The sequence below is a fragment of the Homo sapiens genome, chromosome 11, assembly GCF_000001405.40.
Source record: "Homo sapiens chromosome 11, GRCh38.p14 Primary Assembly".
NCBI lineage: Eukaryota > Metazoa > Chordata > Mammalia > Primates > Hominidae > Homo > Homo sapiens.
In genome coordinates, this window is record NC_000011.10 from 112,050,738 (window position 1) to 112,074,019 (window position 23,282).

At 39.9% G+C, this 23,282-nt stretch overlaps 2 protein-coding genes across 27 annotated transcripts in view; one reads left to right on the top strand and one right to left on the bottom strand.

Annotated features, from left to right (window-relative positions):
• The window catches only part of DLAT (dihydrolipoamide S-acetyltransferase), a 38,997-nt gene extending 25,330 nt beyond the window's left edge, over positions 1-13,667 (top strand). For 12 of the 14 annotated variants that reach the window (NR_164072.1, NM_001372042.1, NM_001931.5 and 9 more), the window contains 4 exons: positions 497-612; positions 9,166-9,328; positions 10,301-10,437; positions 11,669-13,667. Coding sequence is in view for 13 of the 14 variants with exons in the window: in NM_001372042.1 (NP_001358971.1) it covers positions 497-612; positions 9,166-9,328; positions 10,301-10,437; positions 11,669-11,798 (546 nt within the window). In the remaining variant the exon portion in view is untranslated. Of the gene's footprint in view, positions 1-478; positions 613-9,165; positions 9,329-10,300; positions 10,438-11,668 lie in introns of all 14 variants that reach the window. The other 2 variants (NM_001372031.1, NM_001372033.1) reach the window with 2 other exon arrangements.
• On the bottom strand, positions 1,748-23,280 carry PIH1D2 (PIH1 domain containing 2). Of its 13 annotated transcripts, none has more exons than XR_007062450.1 (7): positions 23,243-23,280; positions 22,261-22,468; positions 20,898-21,021; positions 20,301-20,546; positions 19,699-19,964; positions 4,887-5,043; positions 1,748-1,950 (listed from the first exon to the last, which is right to left on the bottom strand). XR_007062450.1 is itself a non-coding variant. In NM_001439210.1 (6 exons), exons 2-6 carry the CDS (start codon positions 22,435-22,437, stop codon positions 1,918-1,920), a joined length of 846 nt encoding a protein of 281 aa, NP_001426139.1. In that variant the 5' UTR covers positions 22,438-22,468; positions 23,243-23,280; the 3' UTR covers positions 1,748-1,917. The 13 variants fall into 13 exon arrangements, 11 of the variants coding, with proteins under 11 accessions (NP_001426139.1, XP_047282324.1, XP_016872693.1 ...); XR_007062449.1 differs by lacking the exons at positions 1,748-1,950; positions 4,887-5,043 and adding exons at positions 13,286-13,484; positions 17,058-17,268; NM_001439210.1 differs by lacking the exon at positions 4,887-5,043.

Below are 23,282 nucleotides of genomic sequence, written 5' to 3' on the forward strand. Positions count from 1 at the left end.
AAACATTTATCATTGTGGTTGTCATTTGATTGATCTTTTCAAAGAACCAAATTTTGTTATTGTTGAGATGAATGAAAATGATGACATAACATACTGTAACTTATGGGATTATGCTAAAGCAGTGCTTAGCAGGAAACAGCTGTAAGAGTCCGCATTTAAAAAGATGAAAGAACCAATGTTTGGTTTCATTTCTTTCTTTCCACCTCAGGATATTTGTATATTCTCTTTCTCTTCCTCCTTTTCTCACGATTATACAGTTTTACTCTTTGGTGAGAGAATTTAGAAACTACAGTTGTCCGGGGAGGGAAAGCATTAGGAAAAATAGCTGATGCATGTGAGGCCTAATACCTGGGTGATGGGTTGACAGGTGCAGCAAACCACCATGGCACATGTTTACCTATATAATAAACCTGGACATTCTGCACATGCACCCTGAAACTTAAAATTAAAATTAAAATTAAAAAAGAAGAAACTACAGTTCTTCTTGTCTTTCCAGATATTAGAAGGGAGAAGCAAAATTTCTGTCAATGACTTCATCATAAAAGCTTCAGCTTTGGCATGTTTAAAAGTTCCCGAAGCAAATTCTTCTTGGATGGACACAGTTATAAGACAGTAAGTATAACTGGGGAAGATATATATCCATCGGTAGTTTTCTTGTATTATTTAATGTGTGAGTGGAGTTGAGGGGATAAGGAGAAATGGAATACAGAGAGGCAGATGACTTACATAGGTCAAACAACTTGAAAACAACACAAAAATGTTTATGAGTTACTGCTTTTTACTTTTTTTTCTTACTGGCCCCAATTTTCAACCTTGTTTTTGTTTTTGTTTTTGTTGTTGTTGTTGATTTATTTTTTAAAGAGATAGGGTCTTGCTCTGTTGTCCAGGCTGGTCTTGAACTCTTGGGCTCAAGCAATTCTACAGCCTCGGCCTCCCAAAGTTCTGGGATTTCAGGTGTGAGCCACAGTGTCCAGCCTGCGATATTGCTGGATTTAGCTAGTAAAGGCTATAGATTCTTTGTATGAGTTCAGCAAAGGGAGATTAGTGAACAAATATGTGTAATTAAGTTGATAATGACTGTCACAAAGCAGGGTTAAACAGATGATTTTCATTCTCCTGAACTTTACGGGCAAAATTAGAACAGTAATTGTTAATAATACAATGGTATAGAGTAGTATGGTACTCAGTGTGTCTCTTTTATCTCATTCAATTCTCATGACTATCTTATGATTTAAGTGCTTTCACTTCCATTTCTAGATAAAGAAACAGACTCCGTGAGTTAAGTAACTTGCCCTGAGTTAATAAATTAGTGTTAGGACTGTGATTAGAACCAAGATTCTGACTCCTAAGCCTATTCGTTTCTTGCTGTGTAGATGCTTCTATGTTATTCTTATTCTGAAAGGAAAAAAACAAACTTTTTTCCTTTGTACTTTGCTGTCACACAGTCACAGCACCGCTTCTGTGACCAGATGAGTAGAGGCAGGGGTGGGGAGGGTTTCCCCACACACCAACCAAACAATTAATTCTGCAGTGATTTCCTCTAATTCAATTCAATTCAATTCTGGTGCTGTCTACCTGTAGATAGTGTCAGATCCCAAAGATTGAGGGCTCAGTCCTACAAGACTGCCCTCACTTCAGATGCCAGTCAAAAGTGTAGGCCACTCATACTTGTAACTGACTGGCTACAAACTTGTTGCTGTGACCTCTTCCTTGGGTTTGATTAACTTGCTAGGACAATTCACAGAACTTGGGGAAACACTTTATGTTTATTATAAAGGATATTACAAAGGATATGGATGAACACCAGATGAAGAGATGGCTAGGGCGAGGTTTGAGGTGGGGTGGTGCAGAGCTTCCATGTCCTTTCTGGGCATACCACCCTTCCAGCACTTCCACAGTTCAGCAACTGGAAGCTCATTAAATCTTGTTGAAGGGTCTTAATAGAGGGGGCTGGGGAGAAAAAGGAAAGGAAGAAAAAAGTCTTTGTAGAGTTTGATCTCCAGGATCTCCAGCCTACATCTCCCTCCCCTTTCCCTTAGGTCAGTGGGTAGAGCTAAAAGTTCCAACTCTCTAATCCTCTAGTCATTTTGACCCTTCCAGTGACTGGCGCCATCCCGAGGTTACTTAGGGATCCCACCCTAAGTATCCGTCATGGAGCTTATTATATAAGGGCTCATTATAAATAACAAAACATACTCCTATCACTCAGGAAATTCCGGTTCTAGGGGCTCTATGACAGGAACTGGCAACATGGGGACAAAGACCAAGTATATATTATACCACACTTACTAATATTTATTAATATTTTAGGGCCGGGCTCACACCTGTAATCTCAGCACTTTGAGAGGCCGAGGCAGGTGGATCACTTGAGGTCAGGAGTTCGAGACCAGCCTGGCCAACATGGTGAAACCCCATCTCTACTAAAAATACAAAAATTAGCTGAGCGTGGTGGTGCATGCCTGTAATCTCAGCTACTTGGGAAGCTGAGGCAGGAGAATTGCTTGAACCCAGGAGGTGGAGGTTGCAGTGAACTGAGATTGTGCCATTGCAGTCCAGCCTGGGTGATAAGAGCAAAACTCTGTCTCAAAAAAATATTTTCCTAATAAATATTAAATTTAGGTTAGAATACTGCTCCATGGCTTAGAGTGACTTGTTCTAACCCTTAATCTGAGGTCAGTTCCCAGGAGGCAAACACAACTGTTTGTTTTTTTTTGTTTTTTGTGTTTTGTTTTTGTGACAGAGTCTCTTTCTGTCGCCTAGGCTAGAGTGCAGTGGCGTGATCTTGGCTCACTGCAACCTCCGCCTCCCGAGTTCAAGCAATTTTCCTACCTCAGCCTCCTGAGTAGCTGGGATTACAGGCATGCGCCACCACTCCCAGGTAATTTTTTTGTAGTTTTAGTAGATATGGGGTTTCACCATATTGGCCAGACTGGTCTTGAACTCTTGACCTTGTGAGCCGCCCACCTTGGCCTCCCAAAGTGCTGGGATCACAGGTGTGAGCTACCACGCCCAGCCCTTAAACACAGCTTTTAAACTATTGTTTCTTCTGGTATTTATTTACCTGCAGATTTCCAAATAACATTTTTCTGTTGCCTTTTATGAGTTTTTCATTTATTTTACTTTATTGACTGACTCCCCGTTAAAGAACATTAATATTTAGCTTTAGCTCCAGTCTTGGGACTAGAGAGAAAAAAAAAGGTAGGTTTGTTATGCCCTTCCTACATACACACACATAACACCATCTTCCCAAATTGATTGTAGCACAAATTTGGATTAAATCTATATTTGGGGCCAGGTATGGTGGCTCACACCTGTAATCCCAGCACTTTGGGAGGCCAAGGCAGGTGGATCGCCTGAGGTCAAGCGTTCGAGATCAGCCTGGCCAACATGGTGAAACCCTGTCTCTGCTAAAAATACAAAAAAAAAAAAATAGCTAGGTATGGTGGTGCGCGCCTGTAGTCCCAGCTAATCAGGAGGCTGAGGCAGGAGAATTGCTTGAACCTGGGAGGCGGAGGTTGCAGTGAGCTGGGATTGCACGCGCCACTGCACTCCAGCCTGAGCAACAGAGCAAGACTGCATTTCAAATAATAATAATAATAAATAAATATAAATCTATATTTGGTTAATTTTTTTAGAGTATGTGTGTGTGTCCAGTGTTAATATTTGAATGCCTGTGACAGTGATTGTGTATGACTAAGACATGTATGATACCATGAATGCTAACCTAATTGATTTTAATAATTGCTTTAGGGAAGGCTAGTTTTCTACGTATATGTGAATTCTTTCTGAAACTCCACAAGCGAGGAGAGGAGATTCAGAAACCATTAAACCATTTCTCAATCTGATCAAACCTATTGGGTAAACTCTTTGTTCTAACTTTTCCTTGGTCATTCTTCATTTGGAGAACATCTGGACATCTAATATTCTTTATAAACTGTATAGTTTTCCAGGGCTGCCATTATTAATGACCACAAAGTTGATGGATTAAAACAAATTTATTCTCTCACAGTTCGGGAAACAAGTCTGAAATCAGGGTTTCAGCAGGGGCAATGCGTTCCCTCCAAAGACTATAGAGAAGAATCCTTCCTTGCCTTTTCCAGTTCTGGTGGCTTTAGGCATTTAGTGGTTTGTGATTGCATAACTCCAGTCTCTTCTTCCATCTTTACATGGCCTTCTCCTCTGTGTCTGTATTTTCTCTTCTCTTAAGAGGACAGTTGGTATTGGATTTAGGGCCACTCAGATAATATAGGATGATCTTATCTCAGGATCCTAATTATACCTTCAGAGACCTTTTTCCAAATAAGGTCACATTGATAGGTTCCAGGGATTAGGACAAAGACTTATCTTTTGGAGGGCCACCATTCATCCCACTAAACAGACTTTAGTCTTCCTGTTTTCAGCATTATTCATACTACTGACTCGTGGAGAGTTTTCTGGAGCCTGGCAGAAATGGCTTGCTTAAGGCATTGACAGTCTTCCGTAATTCAGTCAAGGCCTATTTTTTTTTTTTTTTTTTTTTTTTTTGAGATGGAGTCCTGCTCTGTCGCCCAGGCTGGAGTGCAGTGGCGCAATCTCGGCTCACTGCAACCTCCGCCTCGTGGGTTCATGCCGTTCTCCTGCCTCAGCCTCCCGAGTAGCTGGGACTACAGGTGTGCACCACCACGCCCGGCTAATTTTTTTGTATTTTTAGTAGAGATGGGGTTTCACCATGTTAGCCAGGATGGTCTCGATCTCCTGACATTGTGATCTGCCTGCCTTGGCCTCCCAAAGTGCTGGGATTACAGGCGTGAGCCACCGCGCCCGGCCAAGGCCTATATTCAACTATTGCTCCTCTCTAAACCCCTCTTCTTGTGCCATTCTGAGTTAGCCACTGTTACTGAACATACCTTTCAGTTCTCTCCTTCTAGGATGCTGTTTGGGCTTTCCTGTTCCTTGCTTTTAGATGCATTCCTTTTCCGTGCTATGGCCACCGTGATGATCGTCACAGCAGCAAACATTCAAGGAATTTATATTCCTTAAATATAAATACAGGATACTTAAAATCTAGATAAGAGGCAGGAATTTTTTTTTTAATATTCCTTTAATTCTCCTCTGTGCCAGCATATAGACACTTTTTTTTTTTTTTTTTTTTTTTTTTTTTTTTTTTTTTGAGGTGGAGTCTCGCTCTTTTGCCAGGCTGGAGTGCAATGGTGCTATCTCCGCTCATTGCAACCTCCGCCTCCCGGGTTCAAGCGATTCTCCTGCCTCAGCCTCCCGAGTAGCTGGGACTACAGGCACATGCCACCACACCCAGCTAATTTTTGTATTTTTAGTAGAGATGGGATTTCACCATGTTGGCCAGAATGGTCTCAATCTCTTGACTTTGTGATCTGCCTGCCTCGGCCTCCCAAAGTGCTGGGATTACAGCATGAGCCACCGTGCCTGGCCGCATGTAGACACTTTTTAACATTTAATTTGCCATTTTACGTATCATAAAATGTACCTGCTCTAAGTGTACAATTTCTTGATTTTTGTTAAAGGTGCAGAATTACGCAGTCTTTACCACAATCTAATTTTAGAAATTTTCATCACCCCCAAAAGATCACTCATGCTCATTTATAGTAAATTCTTATTTTCACCTTCAGCCCCTGGGCAATTTGTTATAGTGCTTGAGTCTATAGATTTGTATTTTCTAGACCTTTTATAGAAATGGAGTCATAAAATATGTGGTCTTTTGCATCTACTTTCTTTCACTTAACGAAATGTTTTTGAGACTCATCCATGTTGTAGCATGTATCTGTAGTTTATTCTTTTTTATTGCTGTATAGTGTTTAATCGTATCAATATACCTCTTTATCATTCACCAGTTAACATGTTTTCCAGTTTTTTGCTATTATGAATGATGCTACTATGAGTATTTACATACAGTTATTTGTGTGGACATATATTTTTATTTCTCTTCAGTAGATTCCTAGGAGTGGAATACCTGAGTCATAGGGTAAAATTATGTTTAATTTTTAGAGAAACTTCTACATTATTTTTCAAAGTGGTTGCACCATTTTACCTTCCCACCAATAGTGGATAAGTGTTCCAGTTTCTCTATGTCCTCATCAATATTTGTTACCGTGTGGGTGTGAAGTGAGAACCATCTACTTGTGAGAGTATCTCGCTTTATTGCACTTTGATTTATTGTGCTTTTTTATAAATTGAAGGCTTGTGGCAACCCTCTGTCAAGCAAGTTGATGGCACCATTTTTCCAACAGCATGTGCTCACTTCCTGTCTCTGTGTCACATTTTGGCAATTCCTAGAGTATTTCAAACTTTATTATTGTATCTGTTATGGTGACCTGTGATCAAGGATCTTTGATGTTACCATTGTAATTGTTTCAATGCCCCATGAACCATGCCCATATAAGATGGCAAACTTCATTGATAAATTTTGCATGTGTTCTGACTGGTTGATAGAATTGATAGAATTATCAACCAGCTGTTCCTCTGTCTCTCTCCCTCTCCTTGGGCCTCCCTATTCCATGAGACACAATAAAACTGAAATCAGGCCAATTAGTAACTCTACAATGGCCTCTGAGTGTTTCAGTGAAAGGAAGACTTTCACGTCTCTTACTTTAAATCAAAAGCTAGAAATGATTAAGCTCAATGAGTAAGGCATGTCAAAAGCCAAGATCGGTTGAAAGCTAGGCCTCTTGTGCCAAACAGCCAACTTGTGAATACAAAGAAAAAGCTCTTGAAAGAAATGAAAAGTACTATCCTGGTGAACACACGAATGATAAGAAAGTGAAACAGCCTTGTTGCTGATACGGAGAAAGTTTTGAGTGGTCTAGATAAAAGATTAAACCAGGTACAGCATTCCCTTAAGCCAAAGCTTAATTCAGAGCAAGGCCCTAACTCTCTTCAATTCTTTGAAGGCTGATAGAGGTGAGGAAGCCGCGTAACAGAAGTTTGAGGCTAGCAGAGGTTGGCTCATGAGGTTGAAGGAAAGGAGGCCATAATAACATAAAAGTACAGGGTGAAGCAGCAAATTATTCAGAAGATACAGCTAAGATAATTGATATCCCTCATCAGTCGGCAGCCATCAACATCAAGGCAAGATCTACCAGCAAAAAATTACAATTCACTAAAAGTTCAGGTGATTTTTAGCATATTTTAGCAATAAAGTATTTTTAAATTAAGGTGTATACATTGGTTTTTTGTTAGTCACGATGCTATTGCACTCTTAGTAGACAACAGTGTAGTGTTAAGCATAACTTTTGTATGTACTAGGAGATCAGAAAATTCATGTGACTCGCTTTATTGCAATATTATTTTGGTGGTCTGGAACTGAACCTGGAATATCAAGATATTTCTATACTTAGATGAAGAAATTGAGGTTGTCTGTTAATTCTAACCAAACACCATTCATTTACTTGTTCATACACCCATTCAACATTTATTTAACATGTACTGTTTACTGGATTCAGTGGTGAACAATATAGGGAATACTGTCCTTACTGTCTCAAAGGGAAGATGATTGAACAAGCAATATTGTAATAATTTATTCAAGAAAGCAGTATTTGCTGTGTGATACCTTGGCTACAGTTCTGTGGTAATTAATGAGTCATACACGGTATTTTTATTAGAGCAGGTTCCTGTGTTTGTTTGCAAGTGACAAAATCCTGCTCTAGCCAACTTAGGCAAATTGGGGGATTTGGTACCCACTGATCTTTTTGGAGCTTGTGCCTAGAAAGAGCTGGAGTTCTTTGGAGGCAGAGCTGTGCCTTTGTTTGAAGTCTTAACTTTTTCTCGATTGCAGAACACTAGCAGGGGCCCTTAGGCAGACCCCAAGGAGACCACGGATAAAATCCATGAATCCATGAGCTTGTGAACTTCAGTTGGGGTGGGGGAAGGGGGGGGTGGGGGGGGGGAATCACCTTTTTTTTTTTCTACTAACATTTAGCATTTCTTCCTTTTATAAATGTAGAGAACAGATCAAATGTTAACAGTACTTGTGTCTGGTGACCAATAAAAATCAGTTATTTTCATATCACATTGTAGTTGTATATATCTCAAAATGTTATTTTGTTCATCCCTGCTTCAAAATGATAGCCATTATTAGACCTGCAACAAGATCTTATTATTGAGTGAATACAGAAGCACATTTGTCATAATTTTGCTTTTGAACCGTTTGATAACTGAATTTCAGTATAGTTTCTCTCTTTTTTCTAGTAATTTGAGTATTTTCAGTGTTAAAAAGGTATTCTGAGATAAGATCCAGATGCATAGGGACACATTCTGTAGAAAAGATTGGGACTCCTTGATAACAGAAGATCTGATATTGTGTAAAAAAAAAAAAAAGATTGGGACCCCTTACTTTTACGTTCTTCTGAGGTACCACCACCCATGTATCCTGAGCACTCCTATTTCTTGCTACAATGCAGTTCTTTCCCTTCACTCTTCCTTTCATCTGCTCAAACTACTTGCAGAGACTCAACTGCAGCCAATGTACGTCCACTCAAAATCCAAGGAGTTCTGATTGGTGGGGTTTTCTTTCAGCTGCATTCACGTGTCGGTCAAGGCAGACGGCAGGGGATGTTAGACGATATGTGCGAAACCAACCTACTGCTGCTGACACATTTCTCATTCTTTTTTTTTTTTTTTTTTCTTGGCAGGCGGTGGGGTCAGGGGCAGGGGCAGCGTTGGGGGATGGAGTCTCGCTCTGCTGCCCAGGCTGGAGTGCAGTGGTGTGATCTCAGCTCACTGCAACCTCCACCTCCCAGGTTCAAGTGGTTCTCCTGCCTCAGCCTCCTGAGTAGCTGGCACTACAGCTGTGCACCACCATGCCCAGCTAACTTTTGTATTTTTGGTAGAGACAGAGTTTCGCCATGTTGGCCAGGCTGGTCTCAAACTACTGACTTCAAGTGATCCGCCCACCTCAGCCTCCCAAAGTGTTGGGATTACAGGCATGAGCCACCGTTCCCGGACCTCTCTTTGATTTTTAATAACTACAAGTCAAGGAGAGGGCACAGCAAAATGTAAAAATTAGGATAGACATCTTAATTTTTGTCTTTGGCTGAACAATAACACACATTGGTTCAAAAAATTTTTGAAGTAAATATAAATATTCTTGCTTAACCTGGCACACAGGCTCTTAATAAACAGTTTTTTATTATATTTATTTTTCTTTTTAAACAGAAATCATGTTGTTGATGTCAGTGTTGCGGTCAGTACTCCTGCAGGACTCATCACACCTATTGTGTTTAATGCACATATAAAAGGAGTGGAAACCATTGCTAATGATGTTGTTTCTTTAGCAACCAAAGCAAGAGAGGGTAAACTACAGCCACATGAATTCCAGGTAGGGTATTAATTATTGCTTTCTAATTATGTTATTTTTAAGGTTTGCATAATGCATTTATTGCATTTTTCACCTTTTGATTCTGTCACGTAATTTTTTTTTTTTTTTTTTTTTTTGAGACGGAGTCTCTCTGTCACCCAGGCTGGAGTGCAGTGGCATGATCTCGGCTCACTGCAAGCTCCGCCTCCTGGGTTACGCCATTCTCCTGCCTCAGCCTCCCAAGTAGCTGGGACTACAGGCACCTGCCACCACGCCCGGCTAGTTTTTTGTATTTTTAGTAGAGACTGGTTTTCACCATGTTGGCCAGGATGGTCTTGATCTCCTGACCTTGTGATCCGCCTGCCTCAGCCTCCCAAAGTGCTGGGATTACAGGCATGAGCCACCACGCCCAGCGTAATTCTTTTTTGAAACAGAGTCTCACTCTTGTCACCCAGGTTGGAGTACAATGGTGCAATCTTGGCTCACTGCAACCTCCGCCTCCCAGGTTCAAGCAATTCTCCTACCTCTGCCTCCTGAGTAGCTGGTATTACAGGCATGCACCACTGCACCTGACTAATTTTGTGTGTGTGTGTATGTTTTTAGTAGTGTCGGGGTTTCACCATGTTGGCCAGGCTGGTTTCAAACTCCTGACCTCAAATGATCCACCCGCCTCACCCTCTCGAAGTGCTGGGATTACAGGTGTGAGCCACTGTGCCTGGCCTGCCACGTAACTCTTATTGACACACCGTTCTGAAAATAAAGTAAAATTCAATCATATATCCAAAAGAAGATATTGTTTGAAAATAAGACATTTTCCGGCTGACATTTTTGTTCATATTGTAATGGTTGTATATCTTCAGTAATGTGTATTCCATTCAGGCCTTTCTTAAGACCTTGCACCTTTTTAGCTTAAGGTCTTTTCACAGAACATTTGTCAAGTTTTCTGATTTATGTTGACAAACTATAATTTATTTTTAATTTTTTTTCCTCTAGGGTGGCACTTTTACGATCTCCAATTTAGGAATGTTTGGAATTAAGAATTTCTCTGCTATTATTAACCCACCTCAAGCATGTATTTTGGCAATTGGTGCTTCAGAGGATAAACTGGTCCCTGCAGATAATGAAAAAGGGTAAGTGCCAAAATGGAGGGGAAGTCGTAAGCTAATTTTTATTACACTGTACACTTGTCCTGTGGTATCCTCAGGGGATTGGCTCCAGGAACCCCCTCAAATATCGTGATCCACAATGCTCAAGTCCCTGATATGATATGATGTAATATTTGCATATAACCTACACACATTATTCTGTATACTTTATTCTTGACTTATAATAATACAATACCTAAACAGCACTTCATTCACATGGATCCAGTGTAGTGCCCGGTGTGCAGCAAATTCAAGTTGTGCTTACTGGAAATTTGTGGAATTGTTTACTTTCTGGATATTTTGATCCATGGTTGGTTGAATCTATGGATTCGGAACCCATGGATATATGGAGGGTCAACCATACCTGTTTTTGAGTATCAGTGTTTTTTTTGTTTGTTTGTTTGAGATGGAGTCTCACTCACCCTGTCACCCAGGCAGAAGTGCAGTGGTGCCATCTCGGCTCACTGCAATCCCCGCCTCCCAGGTTCAAATAATTCTCCTGCCTCAGCCTCCCAAGTAGCTATAGCTGGGATTACAGGCATGTACTACCACACTTGGCTAATTTTTGTATTTTTAGTAGACATGTTGTTTCACCATGTAGGCCAGGCTGGTCTTGATCCTGACCTCAAATGATCTGCTCACCTCAGCCTTCCAAAGTGCTGGGATTACAGGAATGAGCCAGTGTGCCTGGCCAGAGTCTCAGTTTTATATATAGTTATTGGCATGCTATATTGTATCTTCAAATAAAATTATATATATATAAAAAATACGAAATTCTTCAAGGCAGCAACTTTACTAAATGCAGTTAGTCCTATTTGAGGTGGAAAGCCTTATTTATTCTAGGTGAGGAGTCAGCATGCTTTTTTTTAGTTGTATAGTAAGTATTTTAGGCTTTCTGGGACATATGGCTGCTGTTGCAAATAATCTGCCATTGTAGTATGAAGGGAGGCATAAACAAGACAAATGAATTGCAGTAAATCTTTACCTAATAAAAACAGGCAGAGGACAGGATTTGGCCCATTGCCCACCCATACTCCAGGTATCTGGTCTGTTTCTTCAAGCTATAAATTTGAGCTAAAGGTATAGGAGACTGGAAGAGTAGATAGGAAGTATTACCTGGTTGGGATTATAGGGTAGGAGTGAGCATTTGGGTGGTTACTGGCTGAAATGCAGTATTTTCTTTCAGAATATCTAAAATGTCTTTATCTTTTTCTAGGTTTGATGTGGCTAGCATGATGTCTGTTACACTCAGTTGTGATCACCGGGTGGTGGATGGAGCAGTTGGAGCCCAGTGGCTTGCTGAGTTTAGAAAGTACCTTGAAAAACCTATCACTATGTTGTTGTAACTAACTCAAGAATTTCTAAACTCTCCCAGGTCACACTGATTCATTCTTAACAAGATATTTATATGTTATTAAACAGGTGGTTCTTTTTATTTTAACCAGTTATTTTTATTATTGAGTCTGTCCAGATAAGTTATTTATAATGGGCATTACTGAATTTTTAAAATGCCGATTACACCCAAATATTGTGCACATTTAATAATCAGACACCAGATTTTTAGCTCTGTACTCCTAATTAAGGGACATGTATGTGGCCTTGCCTAGCCCTTTGGTGATAAGTACTTCCTCTAGGAAATGTACGATAGGTAGAATTGTGGTTCCCTAAAGACAAGTACATAAAGGTGACCCTGATGAAACCTTGAAGTTCTGAAATTTAACTGCCTAAAATGTTCTCCTTAGATGTGAGAGAAAGAGAAATCAGAAAAATTAATTCTCTTGGGGGAAGGGCTTGAATTGAAGCTTTACTTTAGAATTTAGCCCTGGTTTGAAATTTTCCATTACATGATCTTGGTTTATCATCGATGGGAAGGGTAGAAAACTTCAAGGAAAATAAGTGAAATTTTAAAAGTCAGCATTTTCTTAGACCTCTTCAGCTGATTGTTTATTTTTCTATGAATTCCTACACATGGTTATTCCCCCCTACTTGAGATAATCTAAATATAAACCAGCTACTTGATGTAACTGAGAATTTGTGTGGATATTTATTTAAACAAATGTGTAATTTTGAGTACAGAATTCAACAGTTACCTCCAAAAAAGAAACATTGTTAATATAATTTAACAGAAGTTGTGAAACTAAAATTTTCTAAGATTAACTGGTAGTTCATTGTAAATGAACATAATGAACAGAATTTATGACTCCACTGTGGAAAATGCTATCAAATAACTAAGGAATATATATGGAATAAGTGTACATATGTAAAATATTGTTACTAGAGTTAGATATGTGCCAAAGTCCATTTATCCCAAATCCTGTCTGAAAAGGAGGGGTACATTGGTAAACATTTTGGAGTGCTTAAAAATGCCAAAAACAAAATGGTAATTTCTACTTTGATAAAGTAAAAAAGTTAAATGTGTGTAAAAAAGTGTTCTGTGTCCTTCTACTCCAGCATCGTCTCATGTAAAATAAGAAAGCCCTAAAATACTATTGGAGAGAAAAAATTAACTAGGTTGCTACTTTATTTGCCTAAATACTTTTTTCTATTTTGTTAGATTTTGCCTTTCTTTTGGAAGGAAGGAGGCGATATTCTGGATTATAAAAATGAATTGGGAACATTATCACAATTCCAGACTTTCTATTAATATTTATGTGTTTTAATAAACGTTTGAAATTATTTATGACTACTTAAAATGAATCTGACCAGTGCTTCCTGGTATATGTAATATGTGGAGTTAGCCCCTGAAATTTGCTTTAAGTGTTTCAGTGTTGAATCTGTTTCTAAATATTCATTATTACATGGTACACAAGTGACACTCCATATATTCCACACAGACTTTTACCTTGCTGTATTATTATGAAAACAATACATTAATTTGATTTTTCAGTAATTAGTAATTTTAGGTTGAAGATTATCCAAAAGAAACAAGCTTATCACAAGGGACCATCATCAATATGATCCAAATCTGGTTCAAACATTCAAAACTTCAAAGATAATTCATCTTTCGCTAATGCTTGTGGTTCTGTTGTTCCCTTGAAAAAAAATAAAAACAGTTGCCTTCTAATAAACATTGTTGAGTTAAAAATTAATCTGAGCTATAATCTAAATCGATTCAGTCTCTTACCAGAACTGAAAGAAAAAAGTTAGAAATAGTGTTTTTGGTTCATATGATTATTTAAAAATTAAAGTATAAATCTTCAATATGTCTGGTTTAATTTTTGGTCTGTTGGTAATTATTTTCACATTTAAATTATTTAGATCTAGGGACAGCCATGTATGTATAAGCTCTCAATACAGATAAATTTTGAGTTTATATAATTGGCAAAATATGGACTACATTTAGGAGAATATAATCTAACACTTTTAAGCTCAAAGAGTTCCTGAAGCACCCCATGTTGGGGTGTGGCACTTATTATCAAGATGGAAAGTGTGGTCTGGTTCTGTTAGGTGATTTATTCCCAATTCTGAAGCTTGTGATTGTGAAGTTAGGGTATCCCAAGGCATGGTCTAGAAAGGAGTAAACCAGCACATTAGAGAGATAGGAGGAATGTTCATCATGTGTAATGCACAAGTCCTGGAATACATGGGGAAATCATCATCACTACTGGTAAGTGATCTAAAAATGAAGTCTGTAGAAAAATCTGGTCTCCAAATTTTTTTTTTTTTTTTTTTTGAGATGGAGTCTGTGTCGCCCAGGCTGGAGTCCAGTGGCACAATATCAGCTCACTGCAACCTCTGCCTTCTGGGTACAAGTGATTCTCCTGCCTCAGTCTCCTGAGTAGCTGAGATTACAGGTGCCTGCCACCACGCCCAGCTAATTTTTTGTATTTTTATTAGAGACAGGGTTTCACCGTGTTAGCCAGGATGGTCTCTATCTCCTGACCTTGTGATCTGCCCACCTCAGCCTCCCAAAGGGCTGGGATTACAGCTGAGCCACCACGCCCAGCCTCCAAATTTCTAATTTTGAGAAAAAGAAATCTCAGTAAGATTCCAATTTAAACCAGTCCATAGTTCATTATTAGTTAATGCCCTTACTGGGCCCCATTTTGTTTTTTGTAGGGAGGGGAAGATAGAGCTGTTTTTATTAATACAAAATGAGTGAGAATATTTTGGAAAATAACTAGAATGTAAATTTTACCACTTTAAGTATATTAGGTCTTGATGTGCATTTTAATGAGTATACAAACACAGATACTGATGAAAATAGCATCTAAGTGCTGAGTGCAAGGGTAGAGATTCAATTCTATGTGGTTAGGAGTTTTTAGGAAATACATTTTGGTAGTGATTTTGTAGGAGTAAAGATAAGGTGAAGGCACTCAGTTTTTTTGAGGGGTGAGAATAGGTTTGTTAATTTTAGGACATGATACAGTTCCAGAAATTTTTCAGGAGATAAATTATCCTGTTGCTAGTAGAATTTAAATCCAGGCCAGGCCTTCAAAAAGGAGATTTGAGGCAAGGAAAAAAAAACAAAAATCCAGACCAGGCTTAAGAAAATTATATTTGCTTTTAGGCTAGGCCCAGTGGCTCACGCCTGTAATCCCAACACGTTGGGAGGCCGAGGCGGGCAGATCACTTGAGGTCAGGAGTTTAAGACCAGCCTGGCCAACATGATGAGACCCAGTCTCTACTGAAAATGCAAAATTTAGCTGGGTGTGGTGGCAGTCGCCTGTAATCCCAGCTACTGGGGAGGCTGAGGCAGGAGAATCACTTGAACCTCGGGATGGGGCAGGGGTAGGGGGCAGAGGTTGCAGTGAGCCAAGATCGCGCCACTGCACTCCAGCCTGGGTGACCGAGCGAGACTCTGTCAAAAAAAAAAAAATTATATTTGCTTTTAAATGTCATGTATCAGTTATTTCTGTTATACAACATTAGTTTCTATAGTTAAAAAGTTTTAAAAGTAGTAAGAACTTTGGCCTGCATGTTGAACTAGAAACTTTATTACAAGGATAATTAAAGGAAACTTGTATCTAGAAAAGATAATTAAGGGATGTTTAAAGTCTGCATATAGCTTACTTGATGTATAAATTGGATAGTTGGTACCTTTGTATTTCAGAGCTTAGAAGAGATGAATGTACATCACTTTTGTACTTCTGATCATTTCTTTAGGGGAAAAGCACTTGTCCCAATGTCAACTACTTTTTTTGTTCAAATATGAGATATATTTTTGCAGGCCGGGCGTGGTGGCTTACGTCTGTAATGTCAGCACTTTGGGAGGCCAAGGCAGGCGGATCACCTGAGGTCAGTTCGAAACCAGCCTGGCCAACATGGAGAAACCCTGTCTTTACTAAGTATACAAAAATTAGCTAGGGGCGGTTGCGGGCGCCTGTAATCCCAGCTACTCGGGAGGCTGAGGCAGGAGAAACGCTTGAACCCAGGAGGTGGAGGTTTCAGTGAGCTGAGATTGCGCCACTGCATTCCAGCTTGGGCAACAAAGCAAGATTCCGTCTCAAAAAAAAAAAAAGATATATTTTGTTTGCTGTTACTATGTCATTGTATCCAATCTATCGACAAGTCTATATATGATACTAAAATGTCTGGCTGGGTAGCTGGGTCTCCTGGCAGAGTTGTTTAACTGAAGTACAGAGGTTAGGGGCTGAGTGCCATGGCTCACGTCTGTAATCCCAGCACTTTGCGAGGCTGAGGCAGATGGATCACTTGAGGTCAGGAGTTCAAGACCAGCCTGGCCAACATGGTGAAACCCTTTCTCTACTAAAAATGCAAAAACTAGCCAGGCGTGGTGGCACATGCCTGTGATCCCAGCTACTAAGGAGGATGAGACGGGAGGATCGCTTGAACCTGGGAGGCGAAGGTTGCAGTGAGCCGAGATTGTGCCACTGCACTCCAGCCTGGGCAACACAGCGAGACTCAGTCTCAGTGAAGTACAGAGGTTAAATAGGCTTGAATATTATATTTGACCCTGTATTTTTATTGTTGGAGGAGACTCACTGATATGGCCCATCCTGATAATAAAAAACTTCTTGCACAGTCTGGAATTTCTTCCTGATAGAAAAATTTACTAGAGACTTTTTCAAGCAGTAAACCAAGAGTTCTCACTTGTTACTTGGAAACAATTAGAATTTTCCCAAATTATAAGTTACTTAAGATATTTTTAAAACAAGTGTGTCATAGCAATAGTTTTTAATTCTGGTTGATGTTTATTTGAGAAGAAGTGAGTTAAAAAATATAAGACATGGCCAGGCATGGTGTCTCATGCCTGTAATCCCAGCACTTTGGGAGGCCGAGGCAGGTGGATCACCTGAGGTCAGGAGTCCAAGACCAGCCTAGTCAACATGGTGAAACCCCGTCTCTACTAAAAATACAAAAAAATAGCTGGGCGTGGTGGTGCATGCCTGTAATCCCAGCTACTCGGGAGGCTGAGGCAGAATCGCTTGAGCCCATGAGGCGGAGGTTGCAGTGAGCTGAGATCGTGCCACTGCACTCCAGCCTGGGCAACAAGAGCGAAACTCCGTCTCAAAAAAAAAAAAAAAAAAAAAAAATATATATATATATATATATATATATATTTGACATAACAGGTGAAGAGAAAATCTCAGTCAAAATGAACTTAGAAAATAATGGAATTGGTGTTTAAGATAAACTACTACCTCTTTAGCCAAAATGAAGGTCCTTTAATTCACATGACTTTAGCACTGAAAACCCAAAACATATGATGCTCTTCTTTCACACCAAAGGCATTGTGATGATTAGCGTGGATTTTTCTTTGATAAATTTTGCTGTGGTCATTTCAGTATCAATAAGTTTTGGAAGATTCAGATGTAATCTGTACTTCTCAGATACTTCAATCAATAAATCATCCTAAGAATAATAAACCAAGAGATTTATTTCCTGCTTAAAATTTGGGATACTAACTTATTGTTCCCAGTTATTCACTCCTTTGCCATAAAAAGATCCCATTTGTTGCCATGTGACTTGGAATGAGCAAAAAATTACTGTTGTAAATCCCTTAGATTTTAAGGTGGTTACTGCTGCTCACTACATCACACGTTAACTGATACAGTACCACAGTAGAGTGTTGCCATCCTAAATTATGTGGCTGACCAGCAAACAGCAAGGAAACTTATTGGAGCCTGGAAAGGTAGTGATCCATGTTTCATAATGATGAAGCCTTTAGTGAAACTATCACAGTAATTTGGATGATAAATACTCTGTGCCTAGTTGATTTGTGGCTTTAGGTGAAGAAGTGGGAAAATAGATGGTAATGTGTTGGTTCTGTTCACTACATTTAACAGGATATTACAAGAAAGATGAGCTTAGAATGGACCATTTTGCAAGTCAAATTAAAAGGGAATTGGCTGAGTGCGGTGGCTCACACCTGTAATCCCAGCACTTTGGGAGGCTGAGGGCAGGTGGATCACTTGAGGCCAGGAGTTCGAGACCAACATGGGCAACATGGCAAAACCCCGTCTCTACTAAAAATACAAAAATTAGCCAGGCTTGGTGGCACATGCCTGTAATCCCAGCTACTCAGGAGGCTGAGGCAGGAGAATCGCTTTAACCTGGGAGGCAGAGGTTGCAGTAAGCTGAGATGGTGCCACTGCACTCCAGCCTGGGCAATAGAGTGAGACTGTCTCAAAATAAATAAATAAATAAAAAGGACTTTATAGAGCCCCAAGATTCCAAGACTCAATGACTGAAAAGTGGAACTAATTTTTATTTTCAGCAAGTAAGGGATAAAATTGAGAAATTACTTTTATCAACCAAGCTGATTAAGGCAATATAGAGGCAAAGATTAAATCTTTATGCTCTTTGTTAAAACCTCTGAATTTTTTTTGTTTTTTTTTTTTTTTGTTTTTTTTTTTTTGAGGGGAGACAGAGTCTCGCTCTGTTGCCCAGGCTGGAGTGCAGTGGCTCGATCTTGGCTCACTGCAACTTCCGCCTCCCGGGTTCAAGCAGTTCTCCTGCCTCAGCCTCCTGAATAGCTGGGACTACAGGTGCCCACCACCACGCCCGGCTGATGTTTTTTTTGTATTTTAGTAGAGATAGGGTTTCACCATGTTGCCCAGGCTGGTCTCGAACCCCTGAGCTCAGGCAATCCACCCCCCTTCGGCCTCCCAAAATCCTAGGATTACAGGCATGAGTCACCGTACCCAGCCAAAACCTCTGACTGTACTAAGGTGGACTTCAGTAAATCCTTACATTTGGCTAAAATGACAGCAATTAAGTCTAAAGAGACAGGTAAGTCTTGAAATATGGGCAATGTCTAAAAAGGAATTATGGGTATCACTGACTGGAATCAAAATGCTACCAGCCTGGACTAAAAGAAACTGCCTTCAAAATTTAAAACAATCCTTTGAGCCCCAAGATTCCATGAGCAGGAACCAGGCTGAAGAGGCTACTTAGCATATAAGAATGGCACATTCTCCGATACTCTTCAGATGTGGCCAAGGTGGATAGTGGGAAAGGGAAAAAAAAAGAAAACATCTTCCTGAAGACTGAAGCTAAAGGTCGTGGAAAAAAATGGAACTGGGGAGCTAGGTAATTACAGAACTTTCTCAAGGAACCTAAGTAAGAACATCCTCTACCTCCAGAAAAGGAGCCCTCACAATGTCTGCCTACTAGGATTTCAGAATTGCTGTGCACCAGTAACTGCAGTGTGCCTCTTATTTTTCCCATTTCTGAATTGAGATGGTTAATTACGGTTATCTTCTCCCCATTCCACATTGCATGACAGATGGGACTGAGGGAGTACATAACTTTTTTTACATGTCTTAGTCCATGGTTCAAGAGGAAGAGAAAGCAAAATTCTGTCCTTTGGAGTCTGATACTGGGATTGGAGGTGTTTTCCTTCCAGAAAGAAGCAAATATTTGCAACCAAGAGTGTAGACTGGTAGACTGTAGGACTGACTCTAACTATTTGCTCTTCTGTAAGAGGATAGTACGTTTACCCTGCCATATGACTTCCTGTGACTGTGAGAATACACTTCTCAGTCCTACTGATGTAGAACTGGCCTTGTGACTTACTTTGGCCAGTGGAGCGTGAGTAGAAGTGATATCATGAAGTGTCATGTCTGAGTAGAAGTATTACGATCCACTGCATGGTTTGATCATTCTATTTTCCCTTTGCTGAGATGTGAATGGCACATCTCAGAAGGGAATTGCTCCTTCACCGGGTAACCTGAGCAAATCATTGTAAGCCCCTGAAATTATGTAGTTTGTTACTGTGGCATAATATATGTTAGTGAATGCTGGCCAATACAAATTTACAGTGTTATCTATTCAACTTACCTCAGAAACACTAAGGTCACAGAGAGAGACAGAATTAATACCAGGTAATTCAACTTTCAACTCAATTTTCAGAGGTTTCTCACTGTGATCATGCACAATTTTTAGTTCATAGGCTGGCATCTTCATCTCCACCTGGATTTCAGTACTGGAAATCTCTTCTATCAGACACACTGCTTTGCCTGAAACTTGGTCTTTTGGCAGTAACAGTTGAGGAAAGTGATCTGGATTGCTCATAGTACTGCTTCGTATCTGTCCAAGAGTTAGTTCTTTATGAAAAAAAGGGTGGAGGGGAGATAAAAAATAAATCTACAACATAAAATACTATGAGCTATAATATATGTGGTGTTAGTAGAGATGGTAGATAAAGCTGCAGTTAAATTAGTTTGGGAATCAAGCCAAAAGAATCTTAAACCAAAGAATTTGATTGAAAATTTTTCAGGATTTAAAAATCAAGGATATGATATTTCTAATATTTAATATTTGCATTTTTCTATCTTAAGTTTTTCACCTTTTAAAATAGAGATTTCTAGTTTGCAAAATGTATACAGGATCCAAAAACATCTTAAAGCAGTTTAATTTTCCATTTACAATCATCAACTTACCCCTTCTCATTTTTTCTCTTAAATCTATGGAATCAGTTTGGATTCCCATCAGATTTTGTTTCATTCTTTGAATGCTTCCTTTTATTCTAAATTTGGTAATATGGTAAGAGTGTGAGAGGGTGAACTGGAATTTCTCCTCAATGCATTTCATGGCCATCTGAATTAACTGATTTTTTTTCACTTGGTCCTTTTCTGCTGCATGAAGAACATCAGGATTGTAGGCAACATCAATGACTGTGTAAGCATCTGTGTGTGTAATTGAAAGGGTATGAAATGAAGAAAAATTGTTGCACTAATGATACTGTCAGGCAATATATTAAACCATATTCCTGATAAAGCTAGAGAATATTCCTGTATTTTTCAGAGGTAATCACAGTAGTGCTACAGCAATTATGACATTTCTTGGCACTTTTGCATGGATTAAAACAGCTCACCTTATTACAAAAGTTAAACAGTATTAAATTTGCATAAAGATACACTAATTGTAATTATATTATCAACAAATAAAGAGTTTTACTTGAAATGCTCTCAACCAAGTAAGATCTTGTCCATTCCTAATAAAATTTTTACAATGTGCTTTCTCTCAATTATTTGTACCTGATATCTCAGTTGTATCTTCTGGTTTGCCAACAGTTAGAGGTACTGGATGAGTGGTTGATTGGGGAGCTGGGATCCTTGTCCACTGACACAGGTTGATAAAAAGTATTTTTTCTTTTGGTTTCTGGAAAGCAAATAATTTTGCACATCTCAAAACCTAGTTTAAAACCATTTAAGGCCAGGCATGGTGGCTCCCGCCTGTAATCCGAGCACTTTGGGGGTCCAAGGCGGCCGGATCACCTGAGGTCAGGAATTTGAGACCAGCCTGGCCAACATGGTGAAACTCCGTTTCTACTAAAAATACAAAAATTAGCCAGGTGTGGTGGTGGATACCTGTAATCCCAGCTACTCGGGAGGCTGAGGCAGGAGAATCGCTTGAACCCAGGAGGCGGAGGTTGCAGTGAGCCAAGATTGTGCCATTGCACTCCTGCCCGGGTGACGAGAGTGAAACTCCATCTCAAAAAAAACAAAAACAAAAACATTTAAAAAATAATATCCTAAAAGCCACTCACCACAGGAATGAAAGAATTTTAGGCTCCAAGTAAGTCATTTCATGTATTAAAACTGCGTTTGATTATACTGTTGTTATTTGATTTCCCCAAGGCTGCTGGCTTTTAATTAGGAATCCAGACTGGGGTGGTGGCTCACGTATGTTACCCTAGTACTTTGAGAGGCTGAGGTAGGAGGGTTGCTTGAGGCCTAGGAGTTCGAGATTAGCCTGTGAAACATAGGGAGACCCTGTCTCTACAAAAATCATTTAAAAATTAGCCGGGTGTGGTGATGCCCACCTGTGATCCCAGCTACTTGGGAGGCTGAGGTGGGAGGATCGCTTGGGCTGCAATGAGCTGTGATTGTGAGCTGTGATTGTGCCACTGCACTCCAGCTTGAGCGACAGAGCCAGCAAGACCCTATCTCAAAAAAAAAAAAAAAAAAAAAAAAAAAAAGTCTGCCAGGCGCAGTGGCTCATGCCTGTAATCCCAGCACTTTGGGAGGCTGAGTCAGGTGGATCACCTGAAGTCAGGAGTTCAAGACCAGCCTGGCCAACATGGTGAAACCCCGCCTCTACTAATAATACAAAAATTAGCCGGGCATGGTAGTACACACCTGTAATCCCAGCTACTTGGGAGGCTGAGGCAGGAGAATCGCTTAAACCCGGGAGGCAGAGGTTGCAGCGAGCCAAGACCACACCATTGCACTCCAGCCTGGTGACAAAGTAAGACTCTGTCTCAAAAAACAAAACAAAACAAAACAAAACAAAAAAAAAACAAAAAAAATTAGCAATACCTAAGTGTAAAGTATTCTCTGGTTATTCTGGGATCATTTCATTCAAGACCTCCCCATCCCTGGCACCAACTCGACATACCAGAATCCTGGTCTGTAGACAAAGCTGTGGTTCTGGGGCAGCACAGAGCTGTTTCCCTTCTTTCAGCTGCTGCTGAATAAACTTCTCATAGCCCTCAGGGTCACTCTGAGCTAGATCATCTAGGAGGTTCCAAAACTGAGTAACTTGGGTAAGCAGACCTTTTGAGGATGTCTCCATGACTTATGAGTGGTGAATAATTTTCTTAAGCCTGTGGAAAAACACGACTTCAGGAAGAAAACTGTCTGTGTAATTATTGATTCATTTCTGCTTTGGGGAGGTGGAATGGGTCAGGAATTGTTTTGGTGAAGTTAGGACAGCATTTGTGTCTAAAAGGTTGTGGATCAGCACCACTTTATGTTTTCCTTATTCTTTAATTATCTAGTACCTCTTCCTAAATTCTCACATTGTCCTCTCAGATAAGGCCTTACTTCTATTTGGACCCTGACAAGTCAGAGTAATCATTTTAAGTCTGGGTTTCCTGATCTTCTTGTTCCAACACCTGACTGGTGGCTCCCCAGTTCTGAAATTGCCAGAGGTGTGGTGTGGGGTGAGGGCCACATAAGACTTCCTTAATCCTCAGTATAGTTTAGTATTTCAAAGCATGGACTTGTGAGCCAGAATGCCTAGATTCCGGTCTTAGTTCTATCTCTCACTAGCTCTGTGACCTTGAGCAATTAATGTTCTGTTCAAAATGAAGACGATAATACCTCTACCATAGGATTATTGCGAGATTAAGTAAGCTAATAGAGAGGCTGGGACACTTCTCTACGTCTTCAGATAAATCTCCTTAGCCTCTTCTCCCATTGGAGAGGTGTCCCACAGCATCTTTAGAATGAGGAAAAGAGGTTTAGATTCTTCAATTACTGTGTAAGGGTTATGCTAAACGGGAAACTTAACTAACGGATAATCATTCCATAGGTCTGCAAACCCACCTCTTCTCTCAGTTCTAACGGGTAATCATTCTATAGGTTGGCAAACCCACCTCTTCTCTCAGTTCCTTGACAAACCGCGACGCCTGTTAC

Excerpts from the sequence above, each read along its gene's own strand:
- PIH1D2 (XM_017017201.3), bottom strand. The coding sequence starts at position 22,437 with ATGGAGACATCCTCAAAAGGTCTGCTTACCCAAGTTACTCAGTTTTGG. Across the intron at positions 21,022-22,260 it reads GTCTACAGACCAGGATTCTG|AAACCAAAAGAAAAAATACT; the intron begins GTATGTCGAGTT and ends TTTGCTTTCCAG. Across the intron at positions 20,547-20,897 it reads AGATACAACTGAGATATCAG|ATGCTTACACAGTCATTGAT; the intron begins GTACAAATAATT and ends TTACACACACAG.